Source organism: Homo sapiens, chromosome 9, assembly GCF_000001405.40.
Source record: "Homo sapiens chromosome 9, GRCh38.p14 Primary Assembly".
Lineage (NCBI taxonomy): Eukaryota > Metazoa > Chordata > Mammalia > Primates > Hominidae > Homo > Homo sapiens.
This window is the reverse complement of record NC_000009.12, coordinates 70638184-70655620: the sequence shown is the minus strand read 5'-3', so window position 1 is coordinate 70655620 and position 17437 is coordinate 70638184. Positions and strand designations below refer to the sequence as shown.

The window sequence follows — 17437 nt, the reverse complement described above, 5'->3', positions numbered from 1 at the left end:
AAATATATACACACACACATATAATCACGCACACAAAGATCCTATAGCTTTTACTTTAGAACTTAGCCATGAGATAAATACAAATTCACTGGCTTGCAAACAAAAAACCTGTTGGAGCCAAACAGTGGTTTTTACCTTAATAGAAAAATAATAGCAGATTTAAAGCAGGCTGAAAAGAAAATAGAGAAAAAAGAGAACTTAGGAACTCCATAGTTTGCAGGTCAACCTTAGGGCTCTTTTTCCTTAATGTGAATATGCACAAAGGCCATATTATTTTCATTTTCTTTTTCTTTTTTTTTTTTTTTTTTTTTTTTTGAGACGGAGTCTCACTCTTTCGCCCAGGCTGGAGTTTAGGGGCATGATCTCAGCTCACTGCAACCTCTGCCTCCCAGGTTCAAGTGATTCTCCTGCCCCAGCCTCCTGAGTACCAGGGATTACAGGCACGAGCCACCACACCTGGCTAATTTTTGTATTTTTAGCAGAGACGGGGTTTCACCATGTTGGTCAGGCTGGTCTCGAACTCCTGACCTTGTGATCTGCCCAACCTGGGCTCCCAAAGTGCTGGGATTACAAGCATGAGCCACCACACTGGCCATCACTTCCATTTTACATAAACTCTGGCAGGTAGAAGTGCCGTAAAACCTACAGAGTGCTTCACGCCTGTAATCCCAGCACTTTGGGAGGCCAAGGTGGGCAGATCACAAGGTCAGGAGATCGAGACCATCCTGGGTAACACAGTGAAACCCCATCTCTACTAAAAATACAAAAAAAATTAGCCAGGCGTGGTGCAGGTGCCTATAGTTCCAGCTACTCAGGAGGCTGAGGCAGGAGAATGGCGTGAACCCAGGAAGCGGAGCTTGCAGTGAGCCAAGATCGCGCCACTGCACTCCAGCCTGGGTGACAGAGCGAGACTCCACCTCAAAAAAAAAAAAAACTACAGAGTGCTTAAAAAGGGGTCATTCTCCTTGTTTACTCCTCATTCTTAGATTATTTGTTTCCCACTGTTTTTCTTAAAAGGAGGAATTGAGCTGTGGCCTAGGGGTTTTGTGTGGTGGATCGATGTGTGCTGCTCATGAGCAGGACTCCACAGTGTGTCACCACTGGATCATTTCCACCCTCTTATATGTCTCAGTTTCTCCCTCCAGAGGTCCATGACCTCTGAGAGGGCTCAAAACACCAAGTGATCAGCCCTTGTATGCATTTCCTGGACAAGCCTTTTTTTAAATAACTTTTTGTTGGGGATTTCCCTATAAGGGCCACTGCACATTATGGGAGGTCAACGCACCAGACACTTCCACAAGGCCCCCAGTCACCCAGGGGCACCTTTTGGCTGGGAGGAGCAAATGCCCTTTCTCTTCAAGGCTGAGAAAACTCAGTCCCTCATTTACCTATAAAAACAACAGTTCAGTTCCTCACACAAATGCACACAGACAAGCTGAACTGAGATTAATTTTGGGAGAAAAAGCAATAGAGAAGATGCTTTAGAATACATCTCTGAACTATAATTAGGATCCTTAAACAACAACTTCCAAGGAAGAAAAAAAAAAAGAGCCAAGACCACCTCCTGTAAACTGTGCTTAGCCACCCCTAAGTTTGGAGCTCTCAGTGCCATTACACACACCAAGGTCAAATCTCCTCACAGTACAAGGTAATCTCTGGTACCCACAAAGCCAAAGAGGTCAAATCATACAATATAGGAAAACAGAACTTTAGAACTAAGAAGAATCCACCCATGACTCTTGAAACTCCACAAAGAAAACAGAACACCCCAACAGGGGTGAGTGGCACCTTTGTTCTGAGTTCTTTACAGGAGTTCAAGTCGTTAGAAGCCTTCTCCAGATTTTTTAGTAAAGCAGATGGTGAAGGGGAAAGAGGTATAGGGTGAAAGAAAAGTAAATGAAAGAACATTTGTTTGGTTTGTTTTTTTTTTTTTTTTTTTTTTTGAGACAGGAAGCAAACTCAGAAACCAAGTGCATAGTGTTTTGGGTTTGTTTTGTATTGTTTTGTTTTCCTCTTTTGCAGCTGTGAGGAATTTTAGCCAAATTAGAGAGGCTTTGTTACCCATAATTTGGAATTCTCACTTGGATTTGACCAAGTTAAGTGGAGTTGGTCAAATCTGATGGGAGAAAGACTGAAACAACCAAAAAAAAACCATATCCCCAAACAACTATTTCCTGCAACATGTAATCACTAGGGCCGTGACATGCTTGTGATGTCTTACCTCAAGTGGGCCCTGACTCTGGTCCGCAACTCCCTCATCATTTAAGCCATATCCTCTAATACACTGCCCACATTCCTCTATTCTCTCCATGTCTCCATTCCCTCTCACCTTCAGCAGATGGTATCCCCTGTTACTACTTATAACATTCAGCCTCAGCCAAGCTCCCTTCCTATCATTCTTTTCCATTCATGAATATTAGTTTCTTCACTCACCCTCTTTGCTTTTCTTCCTCTCTCTAAAGACCTCTCTTCTTGGCTAAACCCAAATCCTCCCTGGCCTCCATTCTCTAGGATCTCATCCATCATGTACATGTTCTTTCCTTTTACACTTTCACGGTTTCCCTTTCCGAGGGCTTTTCCCCCTTCTGCTGTAAGCACATTCAAGGCCCTCATCGACCTAACAAGTCCTTGGCTACTCTCCACCAAGCCCTGCAAGGTAGCATCTAACCTTTCTCCTCTTAACCAGCAAACTCTGAGAGGTACTCTAAATTCTTGACTCACTCACTCACTCTGCAGACTCTTACATCCCAGCTTCTACCTCACCAAACTTATTCACACAGCTTTCCACACTCCTGAAGATTCCAAATTGTCTCCTAACCCCAATAATCATCTTCCTGAACCTCTCAGCCACTTTGACAGTGTTGACCTTATCCACTTCTTCTGGCAACTATTTTCTACTTTGAGGGGAGACCACAGTTTAAAGCCTGATACTGTGAGTTACTCTGCCTCTCTGAGCCTATTTTCCAATTAGCAAAGTGGGAATAAAGATACTCACTGTACAGATTTTTTGTGAGCATTAAATGAGATCATACATGTAATATGCCCAGCATGTAATTGGCTGTCACTGTATGATGAAAATTCTATTTATTTTTACCTTTCCTTGGTGTCAAAGTTCCTGAGTATTCTGCCTTTCTGACCACTCCTTTGTCTTCCTCATTAGATGTCCTTATTTCTTCACTTCACCTTCCACCAAACTTATAAAGTCCCATGGTTTCAAATATCACGTCTACATGAATAACTCTAGGTCTGCCTCCAACCCTGGCTTCCCTCCCTGCTCACCCTTTTCTGATTGCCTACTGGACAACTCCCTCGGGTGTCACTTAGCACTTCAAATTCAATCAAATTAACTGTCTTAAAAATAATTAATAATAATAATAATATAAACAAAGTAATCATCTTTCCTCCAAAACCTGATTTCTACCTGATTTTCCTATTTCTGTTCATATAGCCACCATCTTTTCAATTATCTAGGTTCGAAGCCTCCTCCACATTCCTCCCTTTGTCCAAGAAAATGCTTGCCAATTCCGAGCATTTTTTGTCTCCAGAATATCTGTCATATCAACCCCATGTCGATCTATTCATATTCCTCCTTGCTCAGCAACAGTAGGCCTTCAGGATTTTTCTTTGATTTATTGCAGTGGCCTCTGAAGGGTCTTCCTCCTTCCTATTGAGCACGTTCCTATCCATTCCCAATATTTCAGTTAGAGGAATACTAATAATACTAATGCAAAGCTTTGATCAGAACACTCTTCTACCTACAAAATCCTTCAGGACTTCCAACGTAGACATGACTACCTAACTCATCCTTCTCTTCTTCTCCTAGAAAGCTTCAAGAAATAGTAAAGAAAAAAGAAAGAAAGAAAAACAATCAGACTGCATGTTAGGTGAAGCTAGGAACTATATTCCAAAATGTTTGTACATGCAGGAGCTATGCAGGAGGAAGGAGGAAGGGGTGAAAGCAGGGGAGATAGAAATTAACAGTGGCAGTCCTCACAAAGCGCCAACAGAAATATTATTCCTGGATGTGAGTGACACCCCAAGATGCAAAGTTCTCTCCTTTGTCTGGAACAGTATGTGCAAAAACAAGAGTGAGTTGGTTGGTGGCAGTAGTCCCTCCTGTCCCTGACTTATTACACAGAAATAGAGGCAGTGGGCCACGTCAGATAAGCCATGCTTACAGGAGGGAGTTTGACATTGTAGTAGACTACAGGAAGACTTCCAGTTGTGATAATTAATAACTAAACTGAAATGCTATCCTGGGCCCTTTTAAATGATAAATAATAAAAAAGGGATTAGCATAGACTGCATACAGAGATATTCTAAGAAAGAATAACAAAAGAGCAAAATCTATTAACAGAAGAATAATACTCTTTATAAAAATGTTTCTGGGTAGTCAGAAGTCTAAGTTTCAAAAACATTAAATAAACTTTTTCCCTTTTTATGTGTCTGCTTGATCAGTATTAAAGTGCTATGGCTAAAATTTTACAGAACTATATAACCCGAACGTTGGTCTCTTTGTACACACCTTTTCTATACTGCAGATCTTCATTCACTTTCATATGTGTATCATTTTTATTGTCGTGTTACTATTGTTCAATAAAAACTTTGCGATAAAAAGTGGAGAAAAATTTTTCTGGGGAACAGATGAACATTATGAATAAGTAGGTAACATAAAATTTAAAAATTTTTAATCTTATTGAAGCACTCATCTATGAAGAAATACTTAAAAGCTGAAATGCCAAAATTCAGGTAAGAGTAGATGAGGCAGCAAAAGGAGATAAAGTATGAATAGCACTCAAGAATGAAGCGGGGGAATCATCACAGAATTGCAGATGAACTGAGAAATGTTGCAAGATCAAATATACATTGTGAAAAACCCAGTGCAGGACACAGAGGATAGAAATGCGAACAAAAATGAAATGAAGTGGAAATAAAGAGTTCATGGGGATTAAAGAGAAATTATATGACAGAAAGTGGAGATCCAACAAAAGCATAACTGGTCTCCAAAGAAGGAAACCGAAAAAATGAATCAAAACAAATTTTTAAAATATAAGTACATAATTTAAAATATAATTTAGATATGTTTTCATTTTTAAAAAATATTAAACTTGATCTAGATATTGAAGGAGCCACCTTATGCCAGGAAGAACTGACCCACAATCATCAATGCCCAGAAAGATCCTAATAAAGTTACTAAACTTCAGAGAAAAATAAAGGATACCCTGGGCCTCCAGGCAAAATGACCAAGTCTTTTATGAGGGGAAAAATTGAGCTGGCCTTAGACTTTCTTTTTCCTCTTTTAACTTTTATTTTAGGTTTGGGGGTACATGTCCAGGTTTGTTACATGGGCAAATTGCATGCCCCTGTGGTTTTGTGTACAAATCATTTCATCATCCAGGTAGCAGTGAGCATAGTACTCAATGGGTAGTTTTTCAGTCTTCACCCTCCTCCCACCCTCCACCCTCAAGTAAGTCCTGGTGTCTCTTGTTCTCCCCTTTGTGTCCATGTGTACTCAATGTTTAGCATCCACTTATAAGTGAGAACATTGACATTTGGTTTTCTGTTCCTGTGTTAATTTGCTTAGAATAATGGCCTCCAGCTGCATCCATATTGCTGCAAAGGACACGATTTCATTCTTTCTTAAGGCTGTGTAATATTCCATTGTGTATATATACCGTATTTTCTTTATCCAATTCACCATTAATGGGCAGGGTTGATTCCATGTCTCTGCTATTGCAAAAAGTGCTGTGATAAAAATTCATGTGCATGTGTCTTTATGGTAGAAAAATTAATATTCCTTTGAGTGTATGCCCAGTAATGGGATTGCTGGGTTGAATGGTAGTTCTAAGTTCTTTGAGATATCTCTGGACTGCTTTCCACAGGAAGTGAGCTAATTTACATTCCCATTACATTATAATAATGCTTATTATAGCAGTATATAAGCATTCCCTTTTCTTTGCAACCTCACCAAAATCTGTTATTTTTTGACTTTTTAGTACTAGCCATTCTGAATGGCTTCAGATAGTATCTCATTTTGGTTTTGATTTGCATTTTTCTAACGATAGTGATACTGAGCATTTTCCCCATGATTATTGGCCACATGTATACACTTCTTTTAAGAAGTATCTGTTAAGCTGGGTGTGATGGCTCACACCTGTAATCCCAGCACTTTAGGAAGCTGAGGCTAGCAGATTGCTTGAGGTCAGGAGTTCGAGACCAACTCGGCCAACATGGCAAAACACTGTCTCTACTAAAAATACAAAAATTAGCCAGGCATGGTGGCAAACACCTGTAATCCCAGCTACTCGGGAGGCTGAGGCAGGAGAATTGCTTGAACCTGGGAGGCAGAGGTTGCAGTCAGCTGAGATTGAGCCATTCCACTCCAGCCTGGGTGACAGAGTGAGACTCCATCTCAAAAAAAAAAAAAAGTGTCTGTTCATGTCTTTTGCCCATCTTTAAATGAGGTTGTTTTTACTTGTTGATTTGTTTAAGTTCCTTATATATTCTGGATATTAGACCTTTGTTGGATGTATAATTTGCAAATATTTTCTCATATTCTTTAGGTTGTCCATTTACTCTGTTGATAGTTTATTTTGTTGTGCAGAAGCTCCTTAGGTTAATTAGGTCTCATTGTCTAATTTGGTTTTGTTGCAATTGCTTTTGGAGTCTTTGTCATGAAATCTGTGCCAGGTGCTATGTCCAGAATTATACGTCCTAGGTTTTCTCTTGGGATTTTCATAGTTTTAGGTTTTATATTTAAGTCTTTAATCCATCTTGAGTTGATTTTTGTATATAGTGAAACGAAGGGGTCCAGTTTCAATCTTTTGCATGTGGCTAACCAGTTATCCCAGCTCCATTTACTGAATAGAGAGTCCTTGCCCTATTGCTTGTTAGTGTTGACTTTGTCAAAGATCTGATTCCTGTAGGTATGTGGCTTTATTTCTGGGTTCTCTAACCTGTTCCACTGGTTTACGTGTCTTTTTTTTTTGTACTAGTATGATGCTGGTTTTGTTATTATAGCCTTGTAGTATAGTTTGAAGTCAGGTAGTGTGATGCCTCCAGCTTTATTCTTTTTGCTTAAGATTGTTTTGGCTATTCAGGCTCTTTTTGGGTTGCATATTAAATTTAGAATAGGTTTTCCTTTGCTTTTTTTCTGAGATGTGATTTCACTCTGATGCCCAGGCTGCCATGATCATGGCTTACTGCAGCCTTGACCTCCCAGGCTCAAGTGATCCTCCCATCTCGGCCTCCCAAGTGGCTGGGACCACAAGTACATGCCACCATGCCTGTCAACTATTTTGTATTACTTATAGAGATGAGGTCTCCCTATGTTGCCCAGGCTGGTCTCAAACTCCTGGGCTCAAGTGATCTTCCTGCCTCCATCTCCCAAAATGCTGGTAATACAGGCATAAGCCACCAAACCTGGCCAGTTTTTTCTAATTCCATGAAAAATTACACTGGTAGTTTGATACAGATAGCACTGAATCTGCACGTTGCTTTGAGTAGTATGGCCATTTTAACAATAGTAATAATTCCTATCCATGAGCATGTAATGTTTTTCCATTTGTTTATGTTGTCTCTGATTACTTTCAACAGTGTTTTATAATTCTTGCTATAGAGATCTTTCACCTCCCTTGTTTGCTAGGTATTCCTAAATACTTTATTCTTTTTATAGCTATTGTGACTGATATTGCATTCTTGATTTGTCTCTCAGCTTGGACATTATTGGTGTATAGAATACTACTGATTTTTATACATTTATTTTGTATTCTGAAACTTTACTGAAGTTGTTTATCAGTTCTTGGAGCCTTTGGGCATAGACCATGGGATTTTCTATGTATAGAATCATATTGTCTGTGAACAAAGATAGTTTGACTTCCTCTCTTCCTATTGGGATGCCTTTTATTTCCTTCTTTTTGGCTGATTGCTCTGTCAAGGGCTTCTAGTACTATGTTGAATAGAAGTAGTGAGAGTGGGCATCCTTGTCTTGTTCCAGTTCTCAAGGGGAATGCTTCCAGCTTTCGCCTGTTCAGTATGATGGTGGCTGTAGGTTTATCATAGATGGCTCTTATTCTTTTGAGGTATGTTCCTTCAATGCCTAGTTTGTTGAAGGTTTTTAACATAAAGGGATGTTGAATTCTGTTGGAAGCTTTTTCTGTGTCTATTAAGATTATCATGTGTTTTTTGTTTTTAGTTCTGTTTATGTGGTGAATCACATTTATTTATTTTTGTATGGTGAACCAACCTTGCATCCCAGGAAAGAAGCCTACTTGATCATGATGGATAAGTTTTTTGATGTGCTGCTGGATTCAGCTTGCTAGTATTTTGTTAAGAATTTTTGCTTCTGTGTTCATTAGGGATATTGGCCTGAAGTTTTCTTTTTTTTCATTGTGTCTCTGCCAGGTTTGGTTATGAATGATGCTGACCTCATAAAATGAGTTAAGGAAGCATCATTCCTCTTCAATTTTTGGAATATTTTCAGTAGGATTGGTACCACCTCTTATTTATATGTCTAATAAAATTTGGCTGTGAATCTCGCTGGTCCAGGGCATTTTCTTGTTGGTAGATTTTTTGTTACTAATTCAATTTCAGAACTTGCTATTGCTCTGTTCAGGTATTCAGTTTCTTCCTGGTTCAATCTTGGGAGGTTGTATGTTACAAGGAATTTATCAATTTCTTCTAGGTTTCTAGTTCTTGTGCATAGAGGTGTCCCTAATAGACTCTGAGGGTTTTTTTTTTTTTTTTGTACTTCCATGGGGTCAGTGGTAATGTCATCTTTGTCATTTCTGATTGTGTTTATTTGGATCTTCTCTCTTTTTTCTTTATTAGTCTAGCTAGTGGTCTATCAATCTTATGTATTTTTTCAAAAAACCAACTCTTAGTTCCACTGCTTTTTTTTTATTATTATACTTTAAGTTCTGGGATACATGTGCAGAACATGCAGGTTTGTTACATAGGGATACATGTGCCATGCTGGTTTGCTGCACCTATCAACCCATAGTCTACATTAGATATTTCTCCTAATGCTATCCCTCCCCTAGCCCCTCACCCCCTAACAGGCCCTGGCGTGTGATGTTTTCCTCCCTGTGCCCATGTGTTCTCATTGTTCAACTCCCACTATGAGTGAGAACATTCAGTGTTTGGTTTTCTGCTCCTGTGTTAGTTTGCTGAGAATGATGGTTTCCAGATTCATCCATGTCCCTGCAAAGGTCATGAACTCATCCTTTTCTATGGTTGCATAGTATTCCATAGTGTATATGTGCCACATTTTCTTTATCCAGTCTATCATTGATGGGCACTGGGGTTGGTTCCAAGTCTTTGCTATTGTGAATAGTGCTTCAATAAACATGTGTGCATGTGTCTTCATAGAATGATTTATAATCCTTTGGGTACATACCCAGTAATGGGATTGCTGGGTCAAATGGTATTTCTGGTTCTAGATCCTTGAGGAATCGCCACACTGTCTTCCACAATGGTTGAACTAATTTACACTCCCAACAGTGAAAAAGCGTTCCTATTTCTCCACATCCTTTCCAGCATCTGTTGTTTCCTGACTTTTTAATGATTGCCATTCTAACTGGCGTGAGTTGTTATCTCATTGTGGTTTTGATTTGCCTTTCTCTAATGACCAGTGATGATCAACTTTTTTCATATGTTTGTTGGCTGCATAAATGTCTTCTTCTGAGAAGTGTCTCTTCATATCCTTTGCCCACTTTTTGATCAGGTTGTTTTTTTCTTGTAAATTTGTTTAAGTTCCTTATAGATTCTGGATATTAGCCCTTTGTCAGATGCACAGATTGCAAAAATTTTCTCCCATTCTGTAGGTTGCCTGATCACTCTGATGATAGTTTTATTTATTTTTTTTATTTTTTTTTTTTGCTGTGAAGAAGCTCTTTAGTTTAATTACATCCCATTTATCAATTTTGGCTTTTGTTGCCATTGCTTTTGGTGTTTTAGTCAGGAAGTCTTTGCCCATGCCTGTGTCCTGGATGGTATTGCCTAGGTTTTCTTCTAGGGTTTTTATGGTTTTAGGTTATATGTTTAAGTCTTTAATCCACCTTGAGTTAATTTTTGTATAAGGTGTAACAAAGGGGTCCAGTTTCAGTTTTCTGCATATGGCTAGCCAGTTTTTCCAACACCATTTATTAAATAGGGAATCCTTTCCCCATTGCTTGTTTTTGTCAGGTTTGTCAAAGATCAGATGGTTGTAGATGTGTGGCACTATTTCTGAGGCCTCTGCTCTGTTCCATTGATATATATATCTGTTTTGGTACCAGTGCCATGCTGTTTTGGTTACTGTAGCCTTGTAGTATAGCTTGAAGATGGGAAGTGTGATGCCTCCAGGTTTGTTATTTTTGCTTAGGATTGTCTTGGTTATGCAGGCTCTTTTTTGGTTCCATAAGAAACTTAAGATAGTTTTTTCTAATTCTGTGAAGAAAGTCAATGGTAGCTTGATGGTAATAGCATTGAATCTGTAAATTACTTTGGGCAGTATGGCCATTTTCACAATATTGATTCTTCCTATCCAGGAGCAAGGAATGTTTTTCCATTTGTCTGTGTCCTCTCTTATTTCCTTGAGCAGTGGTTTATAGTTCTCCTTGAACAGGTCCTTCACATCCCTTGTAAGTTGTATTCCTAAGTATTTTATTCTCTTTGTAGCAATTGTGAATGGGAGTTCACTCATGATTTGGCTTTCTGTTTGTCTATTATTGAGGTATAGAAATACTTGTGGTTTTTGCACATTGATTTTGTATCCTGAGACTTTGCCAAAGTTTCTTATCAGCTAAAGGAGATTTGAGGCTGAAACAATGGGGCTTTCTGAATATAAAATCATGTCATCTGCAAACAGAAACAATTTGACTTCCTCTCTTCCTGTTTGAATACCCCTTATTTCTTTCTCTTGCCTGATTTCCCTGGCCAGAACTTCCAGTACTATGTTGAATAGGAGTGGTGAGAGAGGGCATACTTGTCTTGTGCCAGTTTTCAAAGGGAATACTTCCAGCTTTTGCCCATTCAGTATGATATTGGCTGTGGGTTTGTCATAAATGGTTTTTATTATTTTGAGATACATTCCATCAATACCTAGTTTATTGAGAGTTTTTAGCATGAAGGGGTGTTGAATTTTATTGAAGGCCTTTTCTGCATCTATTGAGATAATCATGTGGTTTTTGTCGTTGGTTGTCCAATGACTCCATATTCAGCCCTCATTTCAGGAGGGCAGCCGGGCCAGCAGATTGCTCCAGCCAATTAGCAAAATACTTCTATTGTGGGGACATGCAAGGTCGGGTAGCCAGAATGGTTCTGCTACATTGATGTGTTTGTATAAGCATAGGTCCCACATACCCTAGGAGTGGCACTGCTCCTTCACAGCACTTCTACAATCTGAAAGTATGCTGTTCATGAGTTTATTTGCTTACTTCCGAGTACTTCCCCACCACCAGTAGGATGTAAGCTCTGTGAAGAGGTTGACCTTAGCTACCTTGTTTGTCATTGGACGTTCAATGACAAATCAGTTCCCAGCAGAGAGAGTATTCAATAAATATCTGTTGATGAGATAAATGAATTACTGCATGAAATAATGTATTTAATTACAGACTTCTCTTCTCCTCTAGACTGTAAGCTCTCAAGACAAAGTATTCTGCTTTATATGTCTCGGTCCTCATGCTGGCATACTGCCTCCCATATAAGGAGGCATGAAATCAGTATCTTTGAACGCATAAGTAAATGAACAGATGAATGAGTGAATGAATGAACATATGCTATCTACACTAGAAGTTCTTAATTTTATCCTCACATTAGAATCATTGGGGAACTTTTAAAAACCGCAATGCCCAGGACCAATTAAACTAGAATCTGTGGGGCTGTGCCCCAGGCATGAGTATATTTTAAAGCTCTTTAGGCAATTCCAAGTGCACAGCCATAGTCGAGAATAGGGTGACCAGCCACTAGGTTTATTCAGGATTGACACATCTCCCAGAGTGCAGGAATTTAAATGCTAACACTGTGACTACACTGGGCAAGCCTGGATGGCTGGTCACCTTAGCCGAGAACCACTGATCCAAACTGTCACCCACGGCCATTCTTGAGTGATGTATTTTCAATTTTTGAAAGTCAAGACTCATTGGTTTCATGCTTTCATTTGACACTTGCCTAATTACATTCAGGCCTGTAGCTCACCTTGACCTCAATAACTGCTTCCTGCTATGTGTTCCTGTTCAGGCTCGTGCTGCTATTATTGACTTGGGTGACATACTAATTTGCAACATACAAATGGCAAAGGGAATGATTAAACTATTCCAGCAAGTCAGCACCAACCAGTAGACCAGCTAAAGAAGCAAAGAAACATGTAAAGTGCTACCTTTCCAAATGCAATCGCAATGAGCCTTCACTTCTTTTCCTCTCCAAATTGATGACAGAACATTTTGACACATTTCTACTTATCACTTGTGTATGCCAGTTACCCTGGTATGAGTGTGCAGTCCCTGTTGTTACCTGAGGAGATAATTTTTAATGGAAAATTCCACGTGAGAGCTGAAATGATATTCATCATTGTAAACACTAATAAATTTACTCCAAGTATGTGGTCGATAATAAGCCCATCAATGTGTGGACACCAGAATCAGAAATGCTCTTCAACCTACGAAGGGAACAGAGCACCACAGCTCTTGAGGGCCTTGTTACTCAAATCATGGCCCCAGATCAGCAGCAGCGGCCTCACCTGGGAGCTGGTTAGAAACACAGAACCTTAGGCTCCACCCAAGAGCTACTGAATCACAAGGTCTGCAGCTGGGACCCAAGAACCTGTGTCTTAAAAAGTTCTCCGAATTGTACTTATGCATGCTAAAATTTGAGAAGTGTTCACTTAGCAAACATTTTTTGCCTAATTTATAACGTCAGTATCTCAGAGCCCAGAGGGAAGAGGCGAGGGTAAGCAGGAAAGGAGGCACACAGCGCAGTAATTCCCAGCCTCTGGACATTGGCTGCACATTGGAAGCACATGGAGAGCTTTAAAAATATCCGCGCCTGGATCCCATCCCAAGCAACATGATTTAATTGGTATGGGATGCACCCTGAGCGAAGCTCCCCAGGTGATTCTAATGTGCAGCAAAGTTTTGGAATCACTGATGTAAGTTAACGACCAGGAACCCTGCCCCACCTCCTCATTGTTTCTGGCCTTGACTGCTGGCGAACCCAGAGGAATGAACAGCATACACATTTGCTATATTTCTTTCCTAAACATCAGAAGCAGCAATGATGAAGAGGAATTCTCTGGATCTGACTCTCACCTCTAGTTTGCTGAATACTTCTTCCATTTACCCTGTTAGTAGCTGTTTTATCTTTGGCTGTTCCACCTCCCTGGATCTCAGTAGTCTCATATGTTTCAATGAGACAGGAGACAATAAGACCCAGTCCCCAGATTAACTGGGATGTTACATATGACATATGGAAGTGCCTAATACTTTGCCCAGCACATGTTTGATGTTTAAAAACTCTGAGCTGAGGAAGGTTGTCTCTTTATCCTCCTCCCCGATCGTGAGATATCCAGCAGCATGAAGCTTGGCAATTATTTAGGGGTGTCTCTTCCTCAGTGCACTAAGGGTGTTGGTGAACTGTGAAAAACCTGTTTAAACAGAAATCACTTATACAATCTCATTTCAGTCTCACACCCCAGCCATGTAAACTGGATATTTATTGCCTCCATTTCACAAATAATCAACAGTGGCTGAGAGGAGCCACAGGGACTCTCACTTGGGCCCCCTGCCTGGAGCCTAATGTTGCTTTCGTTACTGCACTGCCTCCATTTCCAGCTTCCCCTCCAGCTGCTTGGCAGGCTGCCTCTATGGACAGGATGCATTCACCTAGATGAGCTCTGGGCCAATAGCACTTACTGTGATGATAGAAATGTTCTGTATCTGTGCTTTCCAGTTCAGTAGTCACTAGCCACATGGAACTATTAAGTTCTTAAAATGTGGCTAGCCTGACTGAGGAATTATAACTTTAATTTTATTTAATTTTGATTAATTTAAACTTAGCCACCTGTGAACCGCACAGCTCTAGAGACAGAATCTGGAGAAAAATAAGAACCTGGGAAATAGTTCCAATGGTTTCTACCCACAAATCAAAGTAAACCTAAGCCGCTGGTTTGCCTCTCTGTTAAAAGACCTTCCTAACTCTTTTTCAGAAAAGTGGCAAGTTGGTACGCTAGTTGATGAGAGCACCCTCCCCATGCAAAATACTATTCAAGTGATGCCTTGAAACCAGTGATTGGCCAGCAGAAGCAAAATGTGTGGTAGAGCAGAGTTTCTCAAACTTGAGTGTGTGCACAAGTCATCTGGGATCTTGTGAAAATACGGATTCTGGTTTAGTGGGTCGGGGACAGGGTCTGAGACTTGCATTTCAAAGAAGCACCAGGGTGGCACTGCTGCAGCTGCTCTGTGAACCACACTTTGCCTAGCCAGACGGTAGAGCAATGCTGCTCACCAGGCCAGTTTTGCCTCCCTTCACACATGGGGGCATTTGGCAATGTCTGGAGACATTTTTGAGCATCATGTCTGGAAGGATGGGGGTGGGAAAATGCTATTGACATCTACTGGGTTCAGTCAAGGCGTGCTATTAATAATCTACAATGAACTTGTATGCATGCATCAAAATATCACATGCATACCATAAACATGTACAATTATTATATATCAAAAAAGCATGGAGTTTCAAAGACCTTCTTTTTAAAAAGTTTTTAAAAATGTAATAATAATAATAATCTACAATATACAGGAGAGCCCTGTGACAAAGAGTTACCCAAAATGTTAATAATACCAAGTTTGAGAAACCTGCTGTATAGCCAAGCAGGCTCTTTGGGAATAGGGGCATTAATGGCAGAGGGATGGAGCAGGCGCTCTTGGTGTAATAACTGATCGTCGTTTTCTCTCTTCCACTCTTTTCTCCCACTTGTCCTCACACAGGAGCCAATGCCTCGGCCCCAGACCAACTGAGCTTAGCTTTAGCCTGGAACAGAGTCGACATCGCTCGCAGCCAGATCTTTATTTACGGGCAACAGTGGCCGGTAGAGTATATATCGTCTCCCATGAAAAGCCCACTTTGGTTGGCCAAGGGTATTTGTTTAAGGAGCCTCTGAGGTCAGCTCAGAAAACGATTGCTTTTTCTTTAAGATGGAATGTGTTCCTTGGTAGCAAAGTCTGTATCCTGAGCTCCCTTTCTCATATTTAGGAAAGCACCGCCATCTAGTGGAAATTTCAACTGAACACAACTCCAAATATTTCCATCTCTATGAGTTGTCTTTAATAGCAATTTTCAGCTGCAAATGATGCCATTTATTTGAATACATCTGAAAAAATATAAGACAAATCTGTATTAACTAAAATTAAGGAAGGGGTAGAATTATTAATTTGCTTCTGATTGTCTTTGATGGGGCAAAGGGAAGGGTCACACCTCAGGATGCAGAATTAGCAGGCTTCCCTCTGCAGGCGCCATCTGGTCCTGGTGACTGAGCACAGGTCCTCCCTATTTGCAAAGAACAACATGAGGAAACCAATGCTTTATATAACTGTTCTTGGTTTGCTTCCCTCAATTGACTCTACCAAAAATAAAAATTTGAGAGATTGGCCATCAGGTGGGATATGTATGCATCCACAGGAGGCAGCCCAGCAGCCTGAAACTCGGTTTCTGTGCCTGGAATCACAGCACTCACCGGCAAGCCTTATCTTACTCCTTCCTTTCCCCTAGAGAGTTTCTGCCTGGGATGGAGCCCCTGTCTTCATTCAGTGCTGGTGGATTGCTAACATGGAAAGATTTGTCAGAGTCTAGACCCTGCAACATTTTTGTGAAATGGATTAAATAAAAATCTAAGCTATTGGCAAATCCAGAAAGTAGGCTGGTTGTTCTGTTTTGTTATGTTTTTGTTTTGTTTTCAGTTAAGTGACATCTTTGTGGTCTTGCTTCTACAGAGACCCAGCATTGATTTAGGGCCTTTGGTCTGTTGACTTGGGTCCCTCTTCTCAAGTTGGCCTGGGGTCTCCCTCAGAGCCTAAGGATAACAAAAATGAAGACAGCAAAAGTGCCCCCTTTGACACTTCGCTGGTGTTGAGAAATTTAATCAGATAATTGCAAGGGGAAAAACCTTGTGAACCCTTGCACCTTCTTGGGATCCAGAACAAGAGATTCAGGGAAGAAATAGTTTTTGGAACTAGAAATGCTTGACTTCTATTTGCAAAGACAGGCACCCAAACATGGGAGAGGTGTGGCTGTCCCAAAAGTGAATCTGTGAACAGTCTTGCTAGCATGTTCTTAGATGTGCTGAAGGTTTACCAGATGTCAAAGGCATCCATTTCTAAGCTGTTCAAGTGAACACTAAAGAACTGCATCCATAGATAGACCCTGGGGCAGACTAACTCAGTGACTTGGTTTGCAGGTGGGATCTCTGGAGCAAGCCATGTTGGATGCCTTAGTTCTGGACAGAGTGGATTTTGTGAAATTACTCATAGAGAATGGAGTAAGCATGCACCGTTTTCTCACCATCTCCAGACTAGAGGAATTGTACAATACGGTAGGGCCAAACTAAGGCACTTTTTATTTTCTTTTTTTTCTGTTTGTTTTACCTTCTCCTGCCCCCCATATGCCTGTGATTCTCTTCCCTTCTCCCGTCCAAATGCATGGTTCATTCATCACAAATACTCCCTTAGACCTACATAGATGACAAACACCAAGTCACCAAGATTCCGCTTGTTTTAATTGCTCAGTTGTCAGCATGTAAGGCAAAAAGTTATGTAATAACCTAAGTGTATCATTCTCATATTCTTATACAAAGCCACAAGGCTCTGGAAATGAGAACACAGTTTGTTCTGTAAGCCCAGAGGGTGTTAGAGGCAATTAGCAAAGGAGGGTTGGTTTAACTCTAAGCATCACAAAAGGCTGATTAAGTAACCTGCGCCATTTTTTATCCTCAGAGCTATGAAGTTCATTCTTCATAGTTCAGCTATAAAGTGGAAGAAAAGGTAAAATATCTCTTTTTTGAGTCACTCAAAAATTTTGGTTTTGTTTTGTTTTGTTTTTTAGCTTAGTAATGATTTGTTAATTTACTCACTAGGGATACCAAGGAGTAATCATAGGTAAAACTACTGTTTATGAAGTTATTGAGAGCATTCACATGAGTTAAGTGCATTGGCTCTGAGCTCATACTAAAATCCAGTGAAGTTTAAAGAGCAGAAATTTTTCCCCATTTACCAAATGAGGAAACTGAGGCTGTCTTAGTCCATTTGTACTATGATAATAAGATGCCTTAGACTCAGTAATTTATAAACAACAGAAATTTATTTCTCTGGGTTCTGGAGGCTGGAGAGTCTAAAATCAAGGCTCTGGCAAGTTCAGTGTCTGGCGAAGGTTGCTTTTTGCTTCCAAAATGGCACCTTGTTTTGCCATTCTC

General features: G+C 40.2%; 1 protein-coding gene across 19 annotated transcripts in view; it reads left to right on the top strand.

Annotated features, from left to right (window-relative positions):
• Nucleotides 1–17437, top strand: part of TRPM3 (transient receptor potential cation channel subfamily M member 3) — a 917912-nt gene that overhangs the window by 791351 nt on the left and 109124 nt on the right. For all 19 annotated transcript variants that reach the window (NM_001366143.2, NM_001366141.2, NM_001366142.2 and 16 more), the window contains 2 exons: nucleotides 14961–15061; nucleotides 16427–16561. In NM_001366143.2, the coding sequence (NP_001353072.1) occupies nucleotides 14961–15061; nucleotides 16427–16561 (236 nt within the window). The remainder of the gene's footprint in view (nucleotides 1–14960; nucleotides 15062–16426; nucleotides 16562–17437) is intronic.